The sequence below is a fragment of the Homo sapiens genome, chromosome 5, assembly GCF_000001405.40.
Source record: "Homo sapiens chromosome 5, GRCh38.p14 Primary Assembly".
In the NCBI taxonomy this organism is placed as follows: Eukaryota; Metazoa; Chordata; class Mammalia; order Primates; family Hominidae; genus Homo; species Homo sapiens.
The window spans coordinates 175,486,284-175,505,966 of NC_000005.10; the positions used below are offsets into that span (position 1 = coordinate 175,486,284).

At 41.9% G+C, this 19,683-nt stretch overlaps 1 protein-coding gene across 7 annotated transcripts in view; it reads left to right on the plus strand.

Annotated features, from left to right (window-relative positions):
- Nucleotides 1-19,683, plus strand: part of SFXN1 (sideroflexin 1) — a 51,183-nt gene that overhangs the window by 7,724 nt on the left and 23,776 nt on the right. For all 7 annotated transcript variants that reach the window (NM_001322977.2, NM_001322981.2, NM_001322982.2 and 4 more), the window contains exon 2: nucleotides 5,812-5,984. In NM_001322977.2, the coding sequence (NP_001309906.1) occupies nucleotides 5,821-5,984 (164 nt within the window). In that variant the 5' untranslated portion in view covers nucleotides 5,812-5,820. The remainder of the gene's footprint in view (nucleotides 1-5,811; nucleotides 5,985-19,683) is intronic.

The window sequence follows — 19,683 nt, forward strand, 5'->3', positions numbered from 1 at the left end:
AGTGCCCTGGAGGCTGCTCCTGCTTTGAGTTCTCCCGGACTTGTTTCTGCTGCCAGCATCTGCCATGCAACCTGGGCAAGTTATTTCCCCTCTGGACCTCAGCTTCCGCATAATAAGCGCATTGGATAAATCATTTTTCAGACTATCCAGTTCTTATACATGATAATACTTATATTTTATAGAGTAACCATATTTTTGGCTGGGTGCAGGGAATCACACCTGTAATCCCAGCATTTTGGAGGCCAGGGTGGGCAGATCACTTGAGCCCGGGAGTTCGAGACCAGCCTGGGCAATAGAGTGAAACCCTGTCTCTACAACCAGTACAAAAATTTAAAAAAACAGAAACTAGCTGGACATGGTGGCAGACGCCTGTAGTCCTAGCTGCTCGGGAGGCTGAGGTGGGAGGATCACCTGAGCCCAGGACGTCAAGGCTGCAGTGAGCTATGATTGCACCACTGCACTCCAGCCTGGGTGACAGAGTGAGACCCTGTCTCAAAATAAATAAATAAATAATAAAGTAACCAATTCTAAAATGAGACCGTGATGGCGGCAGCTTGCCCTAAAGGTTGCCTTATATTTAACAAATTAGGGATAGTTTGTTATTAGGAACTAGAATTCTATAAAAGCTACATATTAATTTTTGTTTTCATTATTTATGTTAAGCATGAAGGAAAAATAGTGATAGTGAGAATTATAGTTAAAAGGGAAGAGAGATTCCTTGGTATTCAATTTTCTGAGAAAAACCCATATCAGATCTTCACCGGGGAACATCACAGATCACCTAGGCCCGAGGGCAGGCACAGGAGGGTAAAGAAGGGTGCAGGGAAGGAAATGGCTCACGGCCTCATGTACAGCCACAGCCTGGTGTCCGTCCAGCATGAAGTCCACACCCAGAGCCATGCTGAATCCCACGCCCAGCCTTATGCTGGACCTCCTGGATCAGAACCTCTAGAAGGAGGATAGTATTTGTCTTTATAAGAAGCTCTCCAGGTGATTTTGATGTGTTCCATTGGTGCAGAACCATCAGTCTGCACTAGCAGCTTTGCAGGAATAAACGGTTTCCCAAGGAGGGGAGGTTTAACGTGTTGTTCCTCTTGCTACCACCATCATTGCTGTTAAATCCACCTCCTCCCGCTTCACTATCCAGAAATGGAAGTGACCGGCTACCAAGGTGTCTTCCTTTTGGCCAGTCGGGCTACCAATAGATTTACCTCTCATCTTTCAGGATGCCACTCTCTCCTGGTTTTGCACCCACCAGTCACTCCCCAGCCCACTTTGCTGTGCCTTCAGTCCTTTCTGACCTCTTCACACCACAGTCCTTGGATCTCTTTATTTACCTTCACTTCCCTGGTGATCTCATCACATCGCATGACTTTAAATATAATCTCTGTCTGACAACTCCCACGGATAATCTCCAGATTACACTTCTCCCCTGAACTTAGACCTACTTACTCTGCTGCCCGCTGGACATCTCCACTTGCTGCCTCCTGGGTGCCTCACGCTTACTCCGTGCAAATCTGAGCTTCCTGTCTTCTCCCTCGGCCCTCTCCACCTCCAGTTTTTCCAACTAAATACCTCAGGAACCATGCTTTTTCTTTCTCTCACATCCCACATCTAAGATGTCAAGAAATCCTGCTGGCACCATTGAAGAAATACCCAGAATTCCAGTACCTCTTGCCACCTGCGCTGCCCCCCAGCTCTGTCTGGATCTCTGCAGTAACCTTGTCACTGTTCCTCCTGTGTCCGCTCTTATCTCCCCACTGTCTGTTCTCCACACAGCAGCCAGAGAGATCCTTTTAAATTGTGCGTCCGTTCATTTCGGTCCTCTCATCAGAACCTTCCAGTGACTCCCATTTGTTGCAGAGTGAAATGCAAAGGCCTTACAGTGGCTCCATAACCCACATCATCTGACTCCAACCTGAGCCATTACATCTCTTACCTCCTCATCTCCCATCTCCCACTTCCTCACTCCGCCCCAGCTCATGCCTTCTTGCTATTCTTTGAAGACACCAGATGCATTTCTTTTTTTTTTTTTTGAGACGGAGTTTCGCTCTTGTTGCCCAGGCTGGAGTGCAATGGCACGATCTCGGCTCACCGCCATCTCCGCCTCCCAGGTTCAAGCCACTCTCCTGCCTCAGCCTCCCGAGTAGCTGGGATTACATGCATGCACCACCACGCCTGACTAATTTTGTATTTTTAGTAGAGACAGGGTTTCTCCATGTTGAGGCTGGTCTCGAACTCCTGACCTCAGGTGATCCGCCCGCCTCGGCCTTCCAAAGTGCTGGGATTACAGGTGTGAGCCACCACGCCCGGCCGACACCAGATGCATTTCTGACTTCAGGTCTTGGCAATGCCTTTTCCCTCTGCCTGGAATGCTCTTCCCCCAGATATCCCCATGATTCAACTCTTCACTTTCCTCTGATCTTGCTGCAGTATTACTTTCTCAATGAGACGTGCCTTGACTACACTGGACATGGTGGCAGATGCCTGTAGTCCTAGCTAATCGGGAGGCTGAGGTGGGAGGATCAGCTGAGCCCAGGACGTCAAGGCCCTGCTCATGATCCTTCTTATCCTGTTCTGGGGTATTTTTGTTTGTTTGTTGTTTGTTTGTTTTCCCCAACCATTTACTGCCTTCTAATATAATGAATAGTTTACTTATCTTTTGTGTTTTTTGTTTGTTGCCTGTTTTCCTTTCACTCTGCCATCCCAGTGTCAGCACCAATAGGGCAGGAATTTTTGTCTTCTTTGTTCACCGATGCGGCCCAAGAGTCTGTCGTGTAGTAAGTAGGTGCTCAATAAATAGATATTAAAGATAGCAGCCTTTTTTTAGACCTTCTGAAAAAAACAAAGCTAACAGATTTTTTTTCTCCTAAGTATTTAGTCTGTTATGCATTTAGACTATGGTCTACTTGAAGGTAGGAATTATATCTTATTGGCTCATTCAGAAATGGGAGGAAATTAGGCCAGATTATCTGTCTTATTCTGTTGTATGATTACGTATGATTACGTGTGACTTCTAAGGATAGAAACAAATGCTGAGTAATACACGTAATTGTAACTTCAAAATGTGGCTCATGGACAGGAGCCAGTGTGTGAACCCACCTGCTTGAATTCCCCTGCACGCCCTGCAGGTAGCTAATATGCCTCAGCAGAGCCCAAGCCTCTGTAGACGAGTCTGAAGAGTGCTGCTTTTCAGGATAGGAACTGGACTCTGCTTTCTGTAATATACTTGATATATTCTAATTCAAAATTTAGTCATGTCTGCATACAATGACATACATTTCTTGTATCCCCATGATGGTGGCAGCAAGAAGGGAGACACTGCAAAACACATTCAACTCCCCTCTTTGGGGAACTGTTTATTCCTGTGAAGCTGCTAGTGCAGATCGATGGTTCTGATCCAGTGGAACACATCAAAATCATCTGGAGAGCTTTTTAAAAAGACAAATATTATCCTCCTTCTAGAGACTCTGATCCAGGAGGTCCAGCACAAGGCTGGGCATGGGATTCAGCCTGCACTCTGGGTGTGGACCTCATGCTGATGGGCACCAAGCTATGGCTGTACATGAGACCATGAGCCATTTCCTTCCCCGCACCCTTCTCTACCCTCCTGTGCCTGCCCTCGGGCCCAGGTGGACTGTGATGTTCCCCGGTGGAGATCTGATAGAGATTTTTCTCAGAAAATTGAATACAAAGTAATCTCTCTTCCCTTTTAACTGTAATTCTCACTATCACTACCACATCCCTGTTTCCTTGGAAACTACAAAGTTAAGATGGACTTGCAATGTTGTGTCCAAAAGTTTCCTAATCTGAAACTCTGCACCTGGGCTGGAAATCCAGGCCAGCTTTCTATGTCAAGAGTGGGATGTTTCACTCTTCACGTTATGATTTCAGGTAGCAAAGTTTCTGACCCTCTGTGATGACAGAGAACAAGATTTCTCAGTGAGATAAGAAACAGTGGTCACAAAAAAAGAGAACTGTTAGGACACCGTATAGCTGCATTCTGACCTTGGGGAAATAGGCTTCCCGTTAGCTTTGTAGCTGGGCTTCTCTGTGTTTGTTACCCCAGCCTGCTCTAGGAATAGCAGGCCTGATTTTTACCTTCTCACTAGATTCCTCACATCTGCAGACCTAACATGCTCAGTTTTGATCCTGTGGTCCATGATATGTGTTCATTGGAGATTTTGAGAAAGTATACAAGAATGCCCAGCATTCACATCCGACATCTTAATGTACCTCCGAACCTGTAAAGCACTAAGAAAGTAACTTAAGGAAAAGTGACCTGAAAGGAGAATTAAAATTAAAACTGGTATTAGAAATGTAGGGAAGGGAAACAGGTATAAGTAAGCCATGGTTTGAAGCCTTTATAGTGCTTAAAATCCTTTGGCCTGCTAATATCATGCAAAGAGAGCTAGTCTGAGGAAATCACTAGCTGTAAGGACAAAGATGCATAGACAGGGATAAGCATTATATGTCATGGTGAAAAACCAAAAACCACTTAAACATTAAAGGTGTAGTTATATATCCAAAATGAACAGCGGCCACAAGGATGCTCATGAAATAAGTGCAAAAAAAACAAGATCTTAAAATATATAGTATGATATCAACTAATTTTTTAAATTGTATAATAACATGTATAGAAAATGTCTATAAGGAAATGTACCAAAACAGTAACGATGATTTCAGAGTGCCTGGATTATGGGAGATTTTGTTTCTTTATTCTCTATTTTCTGTAATAAGCTTGTATTTTTCGGAATACCACAGTGAGCATCTATTACAACAATACAGGGCAGTTCTAAAATAAACATGTATTACTCAGAGAAAGAAATTAATTACTTTTGGAAAAAAAGTAATGGCTCTTTAGCCAGAAAATAAAAATTGTATGAGGATAATTACATGCTGCAGAGTTACTCCTATTCATGGGACTGTGCAACTGTGTTTTTCCTGCTATGTTCCTGGTAGCTGGAAGAACTTAATTTTTAATTTTTGATTGGTGGTTTATGTGCTAAACAAGGCTGAATGAATCTGCGTCTTTTTTAGTTGTGTAATTTTTAGCATTTAAACCTTTTTTTAATCATTAGTCATTTCTCCTAGTAGGAATAACAGCTTTAGTAGGCGTTTGACGTTGGTTGTTTCACTCAGAAAAATGGGTTCAAACTTCGGACCTTGTTACTGTTTTTATTTATTTTTAAACTTTTTTTTTTTTTTAGAGGCATGGTCTTGCTTTGTCACCCAGGCTGGAGTGCAGCGGCATGATGATAGCTCACTACAGCTCCAACTCTTGGGCTCAAGCGATCCCCACACCCCACTGCCACCTCAGCCTCCTGAGTAGCTGCAACTATAGGCGTGCACCACCATGCCCGGATAAGTTTTTAAAATTTTTTGTAGAGATGGGGTCTTGCCGTGTTGTCCAGGCTGGTCTCAAACGCCTGGGCTCAAGGGATCTTCCCTCCTCGACCTCCCAAAGTGCTGGGAACATAGGTGTGAGCTGCCGCACCCATCCTAAAACTTTTCGTACCTTTATTTTCTCCAGAGTAATTCTAGGTATCCAACAAGTAAATATTAAAATACTATGTACTTATAAAGAGAAATATGTAGGAAACTATTGAAATTTAGTTAAGATCAATTGAGATTTATAGACAAACTTAGCTTTGAATTTAGATGGCCTTTTTGCCATTTATAGCAAAATTATCTTTATAAATAGGAAGAGTATGTACATATTTACTCAAAAATTTAAGGTGACTGTAAAGTTTCTAAATACGTAGTGACATTGTAAGCCTTACACGAACTTGCCTTTTTGACTCTTTGCAGTCCGGGACCATGTCTGGAGAACTACCACCAAACATTAACATCAAGGAACCTCGATGGGATCAAAGCACTTTCATTGGACGAGCCAATCATTTCTTCACTGTAACTGACCCCAGGAACATTCTGTTAACCAACGAACAACTCGAGAGTGCGAGAAAAATAGTACATGATTACAGGTAACATTAATTATTGTTTTTTGGTTTAATGTATAAATAGATCATCATGTTAGGCTGCTATCTTTAAACCTTCACTTAGTGATTTTACAACTTTTTTTTTTGCAATGGAATTCTTTTGACCAAAAAAAAAAAAAGGAAGAAAAGAGTAAAAAGACCTGTTATATCCCCCATTGCTCGCCCTTAACACAGATATCTAGGGTTCATATTAACCTGACAATGGGAGTCATCCCTCTTAGTTGTAGATACCAATCCCTTTCTCCTGGCAGCTTGCCTTCTGTTCTCCGATAGCACCACCACCTCCACTACGACATCCACAACCCCTCCGTGCATTTTTCTGTCTCTGAACAGAAACAGCATTATGCAAAAACAAATTGCCAAGAATCAGGGGTAGGTTGGTTCCTTCTGAGTTATAGGCCCAGTAAGTAAAGTCCTGTAGGTAGGAGCTCAGATGGGAAGGGTGCTGGTGGCAATGCCTACAGGGAATGCAGATGTGGGATGCACGCCATCAGTTGAGAGAACCATGCGGGAGGGAGGAGAAGATGCTACCGGTGTAGAGATATTCCAAGGCAGCAGTTGGCCACTTTTTCTGTAAAAGATCATATAGGAACTATTTCAGCCTTTGTGGATCTCTGTCACATATTATTCTTAAGTTTTTATTTGTGTTTTTTTGTTTGTTTAACAATCCTTTAAAAAAATGTAAAAACCGCTGGGCACGGTGGCTCACGCCTGTAATCCCAGCCCTTTGGGAGGCTGAGGTGGGTAGATCACGAGGTCAGGAGATCGAGACCATCCTGGCTAACACGGTGAAACCCCGTCTCTACTAAAAATACAAAAAATTAGCCAGGCATGGTGGCGGGCGCCTGTAGTCCCAGCTACTCGGGAGGCTGAGGCAGGAGAATGGCATGAAGCCAGGAGGCAGAGCCGGCAGTGAGCCAGGATCGTGCCACTCGCCACTGCACTCCAGCCTGGGCGACAGAGCGAAACTCCATCTAAAAAAAAAAAAAGATGTAAAAACCACTCTTACCTGGCAGGGCACACAGGCCACGAACAGTAGTTTGCTGACTCCTGCACTGGGGGAAAGTCAATCCAAAGCTGGGGATTGGATTGCTAGAAGCTTTGTGCCTAAACATGCCCAGAAGTGACACATCAGAAGCAGGTCCTTAACCATCATCTAGGTAGAGAGAGAACCGACGACAGTCAATAAACACTGAGTCTGGCCAAGTTCTGCCATGTGCCAATGTGCGTAAAGAGGGAATACACAAACAGCAGATAAACGAACAGCAGAACATCCTGGAACCTTACGAGAAAATAGTGAAGACAGGCAAAAGCCGTAGAAAGCAGAGAAGTTGAGATGAAAAGACAACTGCATGGTTGAAAAGAAGATGGCATAAGGAAGATTGCCAAGAACGTACAAATGTAATTGAAATTGAAATGTTTACTGGAGGCAGTGGTAAAGGACCAACATCAGAAATTACACGTAAGAAAAAGTACAATTACCGATAGAGAGAATGAACCTGAGAAGCTTGCCGGGGTGAAGAACAGAGGTCGGCAAACTTTTTCCGTAAAGGGCCAGACGACAAGTATTTTAGGCTTTACAGGCCATGCATTCTTTGTCACATATTCTTGTTTGTTTTTACAACCCTCTAAAACCATAAAAGCTATTCTGAGCTCACAGGCATAGAGAAACAGGCCAGGCCGTGGACTGGTGTTTGCCAATCCCTGATATAGATGGAAAAGAAGGGTACGAAAAAGACTCTGTAAGAGGAAAAGAGAATGGAGACTGAAGATAAAATTAATTGGTGCTCCTAAAAGAGAAACTAGAAAAATGCAAATAAGCAATATTAAATATATTTCATAGCAACAGAAAGTAAAATGGAATTTTCCTCAGGTGAGGAAAACCATTTCTCTAATTAAAGAGACCTGCCCTATTTCAAGCAGACACACCCACACATGGCAATTTTTTTCCTTTTGTTTTTTCTATAAACTTTTAAAACTTCCAGAAGCATCCATGAACAGGAAAACAACGAAAAGCTATTAAAAAGGAACATGTCAGAAAGGGCTCAATCTTTTCATCTCTACGCTGAATGCCTGAAGATAGTAAGCGATGTGTGCCAAGTTCTCAGGGGAGAGAGTTGTCACTTGGGAATTTCACAATAGATCATCTTTATTTGCGACAGCAACAGAAAATATGCAAGTGCAGCCGGGCACAGTGATTCATGCCTATAATCCCAGCACTTTGGGAGGCCAAGGTGGGTGGATCGCCTGAGGTCAGGAGCTCGAGACCAGCCTGGCCGACATGGTAAAACCCCGTCTCTACAAAAAAAAGTACAAAAAATTAGCTGGGCGTGGTGGTGCATGTCTGTAATTCCAGCTACTTGTGTGGCAGAGACAGGAGAACCGCTTGAACCTGGGAGGCAGAGGTTGCAGTGAGCCGAGATCATGCCACTGCACTCCAGCCTGGGCAACAAGCACGAAACTCCACCTAAAAAAAAAAAAAAGAAAAAATATGTAAAATATGCAAGTGCATCAAACATAAACTCTTCATAAACCCTTCTTGGGTGGTCAAAAGATAATACCAAATAGAGTTAAAAAAAATAAGCCATAATATAAGGTGATTCCTCAGACAGTGAAACATGAATCACCGTGTGACCCAGCAGTTCCACTTCTGGGAATATACCTGAAAGAAATGAAAGCAAGAACTCGAACAGATCCTTGTACACTCATGTACATAGCAGCATTATTCACAGTAGCCAAAAGTTGGAAGCAACCCAGGTGTCCGTCAGCAGATGAGTGGATGAACAAATGTGCTCCCGCCATACAGTGGAATCCCATACAATGAAATAGCATTCAGCCTTCAAAAGGAAGGAGATTCTGATGCATGCTACAACATGGTTGATCATGAAGACATTATGTTGAGTAAAATAAGCTAGTCACAAAAGGACAAATATTGTGTGATTTCATTTATATGAGGTACCTAGAGTAGTCAAATTCAGAGACAGAAAGTAGAGGGGAAGTTGCCAGGGGCTGGGGGAAGAGGGAATGGGGAGTTAGTGTTTAATGGGGACAAAGTTTTAGTTGGGGAAGATGAAAATGTTCTAGACATGGATAGTGGTGATGACCACACAATAATGTGAATGTACTTAATGCCACAGAATTGTATACTTAAAAATGGTTAAAATGGCTGGGGGTGGTGGCACATGCCTGTAATCCCAGCACTTTGGGAGGCCAAGGTGGGAGGATCACTTGAGGTCAGGAGTTTGAGACCAGCCTGACCAACATGGTGAAACCCCGTCTCTTCTAAAAATACAAAAATTAGCCGAGTATGGTGATGCACGCCTATAATCCCAGCTACTCAGGAGGCTGAGGCAGGAGAATCACTAGAACCCGGGAGGCGGAGGTTGCAGTGACTTGAGATCGCACCACTGCACTCCAGCCTGGGCAACAGAGCAAGACTTCGTCTCAAAAAAAAAAAAGGGTTAAAATGGTAAATTTTATGTTACGAATCTTTTACTACAATAAAAAAAGAAACATATAAGAAAGTCATATAAATAGACAAGTGATGAATGTTGAAACACATAGAAATAGTTGTATCTCTAGTATGAAATACTGTATAGAATAAAAGAGATTAAAAGTGGCTTTTTTTTTTTTTTGAGACGGAGTTTCGCTCTTGTTGCCCAGGCTGGAGTGTAGTGGCGCAATCTCGGCTCACAGCAACCTCCGCCTCCCAGGTTCAAGCGATTCTTCTGCCTCAGCCTCCCGAGTAGCTGGGATTACAGGCACGCACCACCACACCTGGCTAATTTTGTATTTAGTAGAGATGGACTTTCTCCATGTTGGTCAGACTGGTCTCAAACTCCTGACCTCAAGTGATCCGCCCTCCTCAGCCTCCCAAAGTGGTGGGGTTACAGGCGTGAGCCACCACTCCCGGCCTTAAAAGTGTTTTATAAAAAATTGTAATAGATAGCCAGGCATGGTGACGCGCACCTATAATCCCAGCTCGGGAGGCTGAGGCAGGAGAATCACTTGAACCCGGGAGGCAGAGGTTTCAGTGAGCCGAGATCGCTCCCTGCACTCCAGCCTGGGCAACAGAGTGAGACTCCATCTCAAAAAAAAAAATAGTAATAGCTATCTGAATCTAAAGCCCTAGATTATAGTGTCAAAAAACAAAAAGGAAATGGAAGAATTAAAACATCTTGTCTCAAATAGGAACAAAACTCAGAAATATACATGATTTTGCTCCTTACTATATTCAATAAATGCATTAACATGTTTCATTTTAAAGTTAGTAGAATATGCATGAACAGAAAATTGTAAGCCTTAATAATTTACTAACATAACAACAAATTAAAAATTTTAAAAATCAAATCAAAGACTTTAAAATTGGGTGGAAACACTTAAAAAGCTCAGTGATGATATGACATCCCACTTAGAATACCTGAAGCTTGCATGATGTAATTGTACTTACGAAATTACAGTACATTTTTCCAAGAATCCCTAAATGTCTCCCTTTTTTTTTCTCTTCACCTTTTTAGAGCATATAGACCCTTAAAGTCTGGGTGATAAATTGCCTAGGCCTGTTCCAAATTAGCTTTGGGGTATTTGTTAGGTTCTGTGCTGATAGATACTCTTTCTTTTTTTTTTTGAGATGGAGTCTTGCTCGGTCACCCAGGCTAGAGTGCAGTGGCACACCAGCTCACTGTAACCTCTGCCTCCCGGGTTCAAGCAATTCTCCCTGCCTCAGCCTCCCAAGTAGCTGGAATTACAGGCACCTGCCATCATGCCCAGCTAATTTTCATGTTTTTAGTAAGACGGTGTTTCACCATGTTGGCCAGGCTGGTTTTCAACTCCTGAACTCAAGTGATCTGCCCACCTCAGCCTCCCAAAGTCCTGGAATTACAGGCGTGAGCCACCATGCCTCGCCTATATACTTTTATATATATAAATCAGTAAGCCAGTTGTTAAATCAGTATGTAAGAAATAACTCAGAGTTTCCTACCTCCCCATCAAGAGATAAATCAGCCATGAGCCTTCAGGGGAGATTAGTTCAAGGGCTAGTTAGGGTTGAAGAGGTATCATGTTTTAAGTATGACTGCCAATATATAGTTCTAGTGGGATACCCACAATGCTATTTGAACAATGCTATATGAACCAAAAAGAAAGTAATAAAAATGGCTAACATTAAAAAGCAGGACAAAGGTAATTGCAAATAAAAAGTAGGAAATTACAATTCTGGGCAAATAGATCCAAATATTTTGATATTGATAAAGATATAGTGAATGCCGAACAGACAGTATTCATGAGCCAGTGGTGTTCCATCAAAATATACAAAGAAAGGGTGGTTAGCAATACAAATAGAACTTGATTAAAACACAATCACAGGGCCGGGCGCAGTGACTCACACCTGTAATCCCAGCACTTTTTGAGGCCGAGACGGGTAGATCACCTCAGGTTAGGAGTTCGAGAGCAGCCTGGCCAACATGGTGAAATCCTGTCTGTGCAAAAAACACAAAAAGTTAGCTGGGTGAGGTGGCGGGCACCTGTAATCCCAGCTACTGGGGAAGCTGAGGCAGGAGAATTGCTTGAACCCAGGAGGCGGAGGTTGTAGTGAGCCGAGATTGCGCCACTGCACTCCAGCGCAGGTGACAAGAGCAAAACTCCGTCTCAAAAAGAAAAAAAAAAAAAAAAAAACCACAATTGTAGTAGGAAATTCTAACATACCTTTTATCATCTTTGATAGATCATCTAATCACACTAGAATTTTTATGCTGTTTTAATTCTTTGATCAAAACAAAAAAATCACAAAGTAAAAACAATGAGAAATTAATGAGAAAATTAATTATTAATCTTATTAATGAGAAAATTAATAAGAAACTTTAAGGAATTGTACTCTGAGGAAAGTTTATAGCTTTACATATCTCTGTGATTAAACAATAAAAGCTGACAATGAATGAACTGAGAACCCAGCCTAAGAAATTAGAGAACAGCAGAATAATAGGAAAATAGTAAACCCTGCAAGGTACTTCCTGAGTGCTGGATACTGACGGCTTTAATCATTTCACATTTACTAATTTAACCCTCACAACCTTTGAGGGTAGATAATGTTATTTCCATTTTTCAGATTAAGAAACGGAGGTGGTAACAGAATCCTGCTGCGGTAGGTGGTAGAGCCAGGATTAAAATCCAGACGATCTGACCGCAGAGTTCATGCTGTTAACTACTACATACACTGCTTTTCAAAACAGAGAGGAGTTCATTTTAAAAGTCTGAAATTAATTAATAGGATTAAAAAATAAATGTAAGAAATTGTCCTTTGATAAATCCAGAAAAGGATAAGCCTCTGGTAAGTCTAACCATTCTAAAGAAAACAAATAAAACTCAAAATATATAACAAAAGGAGTAAGAAAGCTACCTAACAGAGAAATAGAATATAAAAATAAAGCCTACTGTATAGCTTTTTTGCTAAAGATTTTAAAAATCTTAGTGAAATATATAACATTCTATGAATACAGTATATAGGTTACCAAAATTGACTCAATCCAAAAGAAGGCAGGGAAAGAGGGGAAAAGGAATGAGGAGGAGATGAGACAAACAGAAAACAAATAGCAAGATGGTAATAAAATAAAAATCTTTCCCACAAAAATCTCAAAGGCCAGATGGCTTTACACAGGTAAAGAAAGAATTTTTTCACAGGAAGAATATCAAACCAGCCAGGCGCAATGGCTCACGCCTGTAATCCCAGCACTTTGGGAGGCTGAGGCGGGCAAATCACCTGAGGCCAGGAGTTCGAGACCATCCTGGCCAACATGGTAAAACCCCATCTCTACTAAAAATACAGAAATTAGCCGAGTGTGGTAGCTTATGCCTGTTATCCCAGCTACTCGGGAGGCTGAGGCAGGAGAATTGCTTGTACCCAGGAGGCGGAGGTTGCAGTGAGCCGAGATGGCACCACTGCACTCCAGCCTGGGCAACAGAGTGAGACTCTGTCTCAAGAAAAAAAAAAAAGGGATATCAAACCACAAACTCCAGCAGAAAGCAGAAGAGTCAGGAAACACTTCATTATTCATTTCATGAAGCTACAAGTACCCTGATGCAAAACCAGAAAAAGGGATTAGAGGAAAAATGACTAACACCCCTCATAAACATAGACACAAAAATTCTTAACAGAATTTAACAAATCTACCCGGAAAGGGCAATACCCAAAATAAGCAGAACTCAAGTGGAGTTATAACAAGAATGCAAGATTGGTTTAACATTTAAAAATCACTGTATCAGTAGACTAAAACAGAAAACCGTATTATCATATCAATAGATGCAGAAAAAGCAGACAAAATCCAACATCCATTCATGATACAGCTGTCAGCAAACTAGGAATAGAAGGGGAAGGTACAACTACAAAAACCCTACGACTAACATCAAACCTAATGGTGAAAGTATGAATACGTTCCTCCTAAGATTGGGGAGCAAGGCAAGGATTTCTGCTCTCGTTAACTTTTCTTCAGCATTGTGCTAGAGGTTCTAACTAGGGCAATAAGAGAAAATTTAAACTTTTTTTTTCAAAAAAGACAAAGATAGGAAATGAAAAAGTAAAACTTTCCTTATTCACAGAAAACGTGATCATCTATATAGAAAGAATTTACCAGGCCAGGCGCAGTGGCTCATGCCTGTAATCCCAGCACTCTGGGAGGCCAAGGCGGGTGGATCACCTGAGGTCAGAAGTTCAAGACCAGCCTGGCCAACATGGTGAAACCTTGTCTCTACTAAAAATACAAAATTAGCCAGGCCTGGTGGTGCATGCCTGTAATCCCAGCTACTTGGGGTGCTGAGGCACGAGAATCACTTGAACCTGGGAGGTGGAGGTTGCAGTGAGCTGAGATTGCACCATTGTACTCCAGCCTGGGTGACAAGAGAAAACTCTGTCTCAAAAAAAAGAATTTACAAAAAAACCAACTAGGATAAATGGGTTTAGTAAGGTTACAAGATACAAGATCAATATACAAAAATCAATTTCATTCCTATCTAGTAGCAATTAACAACTGTAATTTTGAAATTTTTAAAATAATACCATTTTCAGTAGCAACAAAAATATTAAGTACTTAGAGATCACTTTAACAAAATATATAAAATGCCTGTACACCAACACACACACACACACACACACACACACACACACACACACACACACACACAAATTACAGAGAAAAAAACAGAGCTTGGGTTTTTTTAAAAACTGGAGAGATATACAGTGTTCCTGTATTGGAAGACTCAATATTGTTAAGATGTCATCTCTTCCCAAATTGTTGTAAGATTCATTGTAATCATCAAAACCCCAGCAGGCTCTTTTTAGACACTGACAAGCTACTTCTAACGTTTATGTGGAAATACAGGGAGCCTAGAATATTGGAAACAATTTTGAAAAAGAATGAAGCTGAGAAACTCACACTACCTGGTCTTAAGACTGACTATAAAGCTCTCGTAGTAACGACAGTTTAGCATTGTTGTAAGGAGACACATTTAGATCCACGTAACAGAAGAGAATCCTGAAATAGGCACAAATGTGTATAGTTAACTGATTTTATGTAAAGGAGCCAAGATAATTCAATGAGGAAAGGATACTCTGTTCAATGAATAGTTCTGGAAAAATTAGATTCTTGTATAAAAAATGGATCTTGATGCTTAACTCATCCTGTAAACAAAATTTAGCTTGAAATGGATAGTAGACCTAAATATACTAGCTAACACTATTCAACTTCTAGAGAAAATGGGAGAAAATCTTTATGACTTTGATATGGGCAAAGATTTTTTTTTTTTTTTTTTTTTTTGAGACAGAGTCTCGCTCTGTCACCCAGGCTGGAGTGCAGTGGCGCGATCTTGGCTCACTGCAACCTCTGCCTCCCAGGTTCAAGCTATTCTCCTGCCTAAGCCTCCCGAGTAGCTAGGATTACAGGTACGTGCCACCACGCCCAGCTAATTTTTTGTATTTTTAATAGAGACAGGGTTTCACTGTGTTAGCCAGGATGGTCTCGATCTCCTGACCTCGTTATCCGCCCGCCTCGGCCCCCGAAAGTGCTGGGATTACAAGTGGGAGCCACCGCGCCCGGCAGTATGGGCAAACATTTCTTAGATAAGATATAAGAATGGACAATTATCAATTGAAACGGAAAGAAGAGAAAAACACTGATAAATTGGACTTCATCAAAAGTAAAGTCTTTTTATGACAGAAGACACTGTTTAGAAAATAAAAATGCAATTCACAGACAAGGAAAATATTTGCAAAACTTGTATCTCGTAAAGGATTTGTATCCAGAAGATATAAAGAACTCTTATCAATATTGAACTATATCACTTGAACTATATCCATCCAGTAATTACCCAACCCAATTTTTTTAAATGGACAAAAGATTTGAGTAGACTTAGGACACTTCACCATAGAAGATACAGGAATAGCAAGTAAGCATATGGAACTATGCTCAGCATATTAGTTACTAGGGAAATGCAAATCCACAAGAAGATGCTACTTCACACCTACTTCACCTACTAGACTTTGTAATCACCCAGTGGGTTCACCTTACCTGCTGCCTAGACAGAACCGATTTATCAAGACGGGAATTGCAATGGAGAAAGAGGAATTCATGCAGAGCCGGCTGTGAGGGAGACCGGAGTTTTATTATTATTCAAATCAGTCTCCCCGACTGATTCGGTGATCAGAGTTTTTGAAGAAAATTTGGTGGCTAGGGGCTTGGGAAGTGGGGAGTGCTGGTTGGTCAGGTTGTAGATGGACTCATAGAGGGTTGAAGCAAGGTTTTTTAATGTCTTCTCTTCCTGGGTGCGATGGCAGAACTGGTTGGGCCAGATTACTGGTCTGGATGGTGTCAGCTGATCCAAAGTGCAAAATATCTCAAACACTGATCTTAGGTTTTACAATACAGTGATGTTAGCCCCAGGAGCAATTTGGGGAGGTTCAGATTCTTGGAGCCAGAGACTGCATGACCCCTAAACTGTAATTTCTGATCTTGTAGCTAATTTGGTAGTCCTGTAAAGACAGACTGGACCCCAGGCAAGAAGGGGGTCTTGGGGGGTGTTATCAATTTTGTTTCAGAGCCAGACCATGAACTGAATTCCTTCCCAAGGTTAGTTCAGCCTATGCCCAGGAATGAAAAAGGACAGCTTAAGGATTACAAGCAAGATAGAGTCAGTTAGTTCTGATTTCTTTCACTGTCATAATTTCCTTAGTTATAATTTTGCAAAAGCAGTTTCAGAATAACTAAAAAGAGAATTGATAAATAACGTACTGGCCGGGCACAGTGGCTCATGCCTGTAATCCCAGCACTTGGGGAGGCGGAGGCGGGAGGATTGCCTGAGCTCAGGAGTTCAAGACCAGCCTGGACAACATGGAGAAACCATGTCTCTACTAAAAATATAAAAAATTAGCCGGGCATGGTGGCACATGCCTGTAATCCCAGCTACCTGGGAGGCTGAGGCAGGAGAATCGCTTGAACCCGGGAAGCAAAGGTTGCGATGAGCCAAGATCACGCCATTGCACTCCAGCCTGGGCAACAAGAACAAAACTCTATCTCAAAATAATAATAATAATAATAATAAATAAATAAATAACTGGTACATCCATCCATCGAACAGATTAACCAACTCATATAAACAACAGGGTGCTTCTCAAAAGTGTTATGCAAAGTCAAAGAGGTCAGACACAAAATACACAAAATATGTATCTACTCACTGTATGATTCCATTTGTGTGAAATTCTTGAAAAGGTAATATAGTGTTAGAAAACAGATCCATTGGTTGGCAGGAAGTGAGGAAATAACTCCAGAGGGGCCCAAGGGAACTGTTGGAGACATGGAAATATCCTGTACCACAATTCCGGGGCGGTTACACCACTGAGTATATTTTTTCAAAACTTAGCAAATTGGACACTTAAAGTGGATGACTTTTATGGTATTTAAATTATACCTCAATAAAGCTGATTTAATTTTAAAATGTTACAAGATCATAGAAAAAAAGGAAATGCTTCCCGATTCATTGCAACCCTGATACAATAAATGATTTAAAAAATACAAAAAGAAACAGTGGCCTGTCTTACAAATTGATAATGCAAAAATCCAAAGTAAAACACCAACACATAGCATCCAACCTTGTGTTAAAACATGAACTGGTAGAATTTATTCCGAGAATGAAAAGGTGATTTATATTTAGGACATTTATTAGTGTAATTTATCACATCAATATGTCAGAGCAAAAAAGCCACATCTTGATAGATGCCCAAAAGAAGGTAAAATTATATATCTATTTCCCATAAAATAATTAATCAGCTAGGCATAATGGGTGGTACTTCTTTAATTATGAAGAATGCATATCCCACATCAGTAGTGAGCAATGCACGAAATAATGGAACACTAGAGCTGAACTTCCCAAAAAGACCTCTAAAGGAAAGGAACCCTGGCCGGGCGTGGTGGCTCACGCCCATAATCCCAACACTTTGAGAGGCCAAGGCAAGTGGATCACCAGAGGTCAGGAATTCGAGACCAGCCTGGCTAACATGGTGAAACCCCGTTTCTACTAAAAATACAAAAAATTATCCAGGCATGGTGGCACGCACCTGTAATCCCAGCTACTCGGGAGGCTGAGGCAGGAGAATTGCTTGAACCTGGGAGGTAGAGGTTGCAGTAGCCGAGATTGCGCCATTGCACTCTAGCTTGGGAAACAAGAGTGACACTCCATCTCAAAAAAAAAAAAAAAAAGGGATCCTATGGAATACTTAAAGAAAGAAAAGAGGGGGGTGGGGGAAGGGAGAGAGGGATCAAGAGAGGCAGAGAGAAAAAGGGAGAGGATTTTGGTAGTCAAATTTGAGAAAGTTTGCATTCCACTCTTGAGAATGTCACATTCTATTAACTGTTCGAAGTTTCCAAAAAGTCCAGGAGTGAAAATAAAGCTGCTTAATCATTTTTCCCAAACTTGGACATGAGCCCTTTGTTTTTTTTCCATAATGTATGTAATATGTATGAGAATACTCGGCCAGGCGAGGTGGCTCACGCCTGTAATCCCAGCACTTTGGGAGGCCAGGGCAGGCAAATCACCTGAGGTCAGGAGTTCAACACCAGCCTGGCCAACATGGTGAAACCCCGTCTCTACTACAAACACAAAAACTAACCGGGCGTGGTGGCGCACACCTGTAGTCGCAGGTACTCCAGAGGCTGAGGCAGGAGAATCGCTTGAACCTGGGAGGTGAAGGTTGCAGTGAGCCAACATTGCATAACTGCACTCCAGCCTGGCAACAGAGCAAGACTCCATCTCAAAAAAAAAAAAAAGAAGAGACCATAACCAACTGAACAACCATAGAACAAATTAAAATACAATGAGGGGGCTATTTATAATAGACACAATGGTAGTTTCCTGTATAAAAGCAACAAGCAATTAGACATTGTTTTTTATTCACTTCATAAGAACAATTTTTTTTGGGCGGGGAGGGTGCGGAGTCTTGCTCTGTCGCCCAGGCTGGAGTGCAGTGGCGCGATCTTGGTTCACTGCAAGCTCTGCCTCCCGGGTTCACGCCATTCTCCTGCCTCAGCCTCCTGAGTAGCTGGGGCTACAGGCGCCCGCCACCACGCCCAGCTGATTTTTTGTATTTTTAGTAGAGACGAGATTTCACAGTGTTAGCCAGAATGGTCTTGATCTCCTGACTTCATGATCCACCTGCCTCGGTCTCCCAAAGTACTGGGATTACAGGCATGAGCCATCGCACCCGGCCAGAACAATTTTTTAAAAATGTAAAGTACTTGGGAAGAAACGCACCCAGAAATTTGCGTCAATGATGAAAACATTTGGAATCATGTTAAGTTTGAGTAAATGGAGAAATGTGCAGTAGGCCTGGGGAGAAAGGCTGGAGATTGTAGAGGTGTCAGTTGTCTCCAGATTAATACGATTTCAGTCAAATTACAACTGTGGTCACCTGTAAAACTGATAAAATAATTCTGACCGGGTGCAGTGACTCATGCCTGTTATCCCAGCACTTTGGGAGGCCGAGGCAGGGGCATCACCTGAGGTTAAGAGTTCAAGACCAGCCTGGCCAACATGGTGAAACCCCATCTCTACTAAAAATACAAAAAAAAAAGCTGAATGTGGTGGCGGGTGCCTGTAATCCCAGTTACCCAGGAGGCCGGGGCAGGAGCATTGCTTGAACCCAGGAGGCGGAGGTTGCAGTGAGCCAAGATCACGCCATTGCATTCCAGCCTGGGCGACAAGAGTGCAACTCCATCACAATAATAATAATAATAATAATAATAATAATAATAATTCTAAGGTTTATCTGGGAGAATAAATTAGTATAAGGCATCTTAGAAAAAGAAAAAGAAGAATAGCGTGTGGGACGGTTGCTCTACCCAAGATTAAAATTGACTGTCAAGTTAAAATGGTGGGTATTGGCATCAGAATATGTAGATAAGTGGAAACACAATAGAAAGTCTAGAAATCAAGGCTGGTATTCACAAACTCTCAACTGATGCAGGCCAGCCAAAAGAGAAAGTTAAGAATGTTTCACATTTTCTTTTCTTTTCTTTTGAGACTTAGTTTCATTCTTGTTGCCCAGGCTGGAGTGCAGTGGCACTGTCTTGACTCACTGCAATCTCTGCCTCCCGGGTTCAAGCAATTCTGCCTCAGCTTTCCGAGCAGCTGGGATTATAGGCGCCTG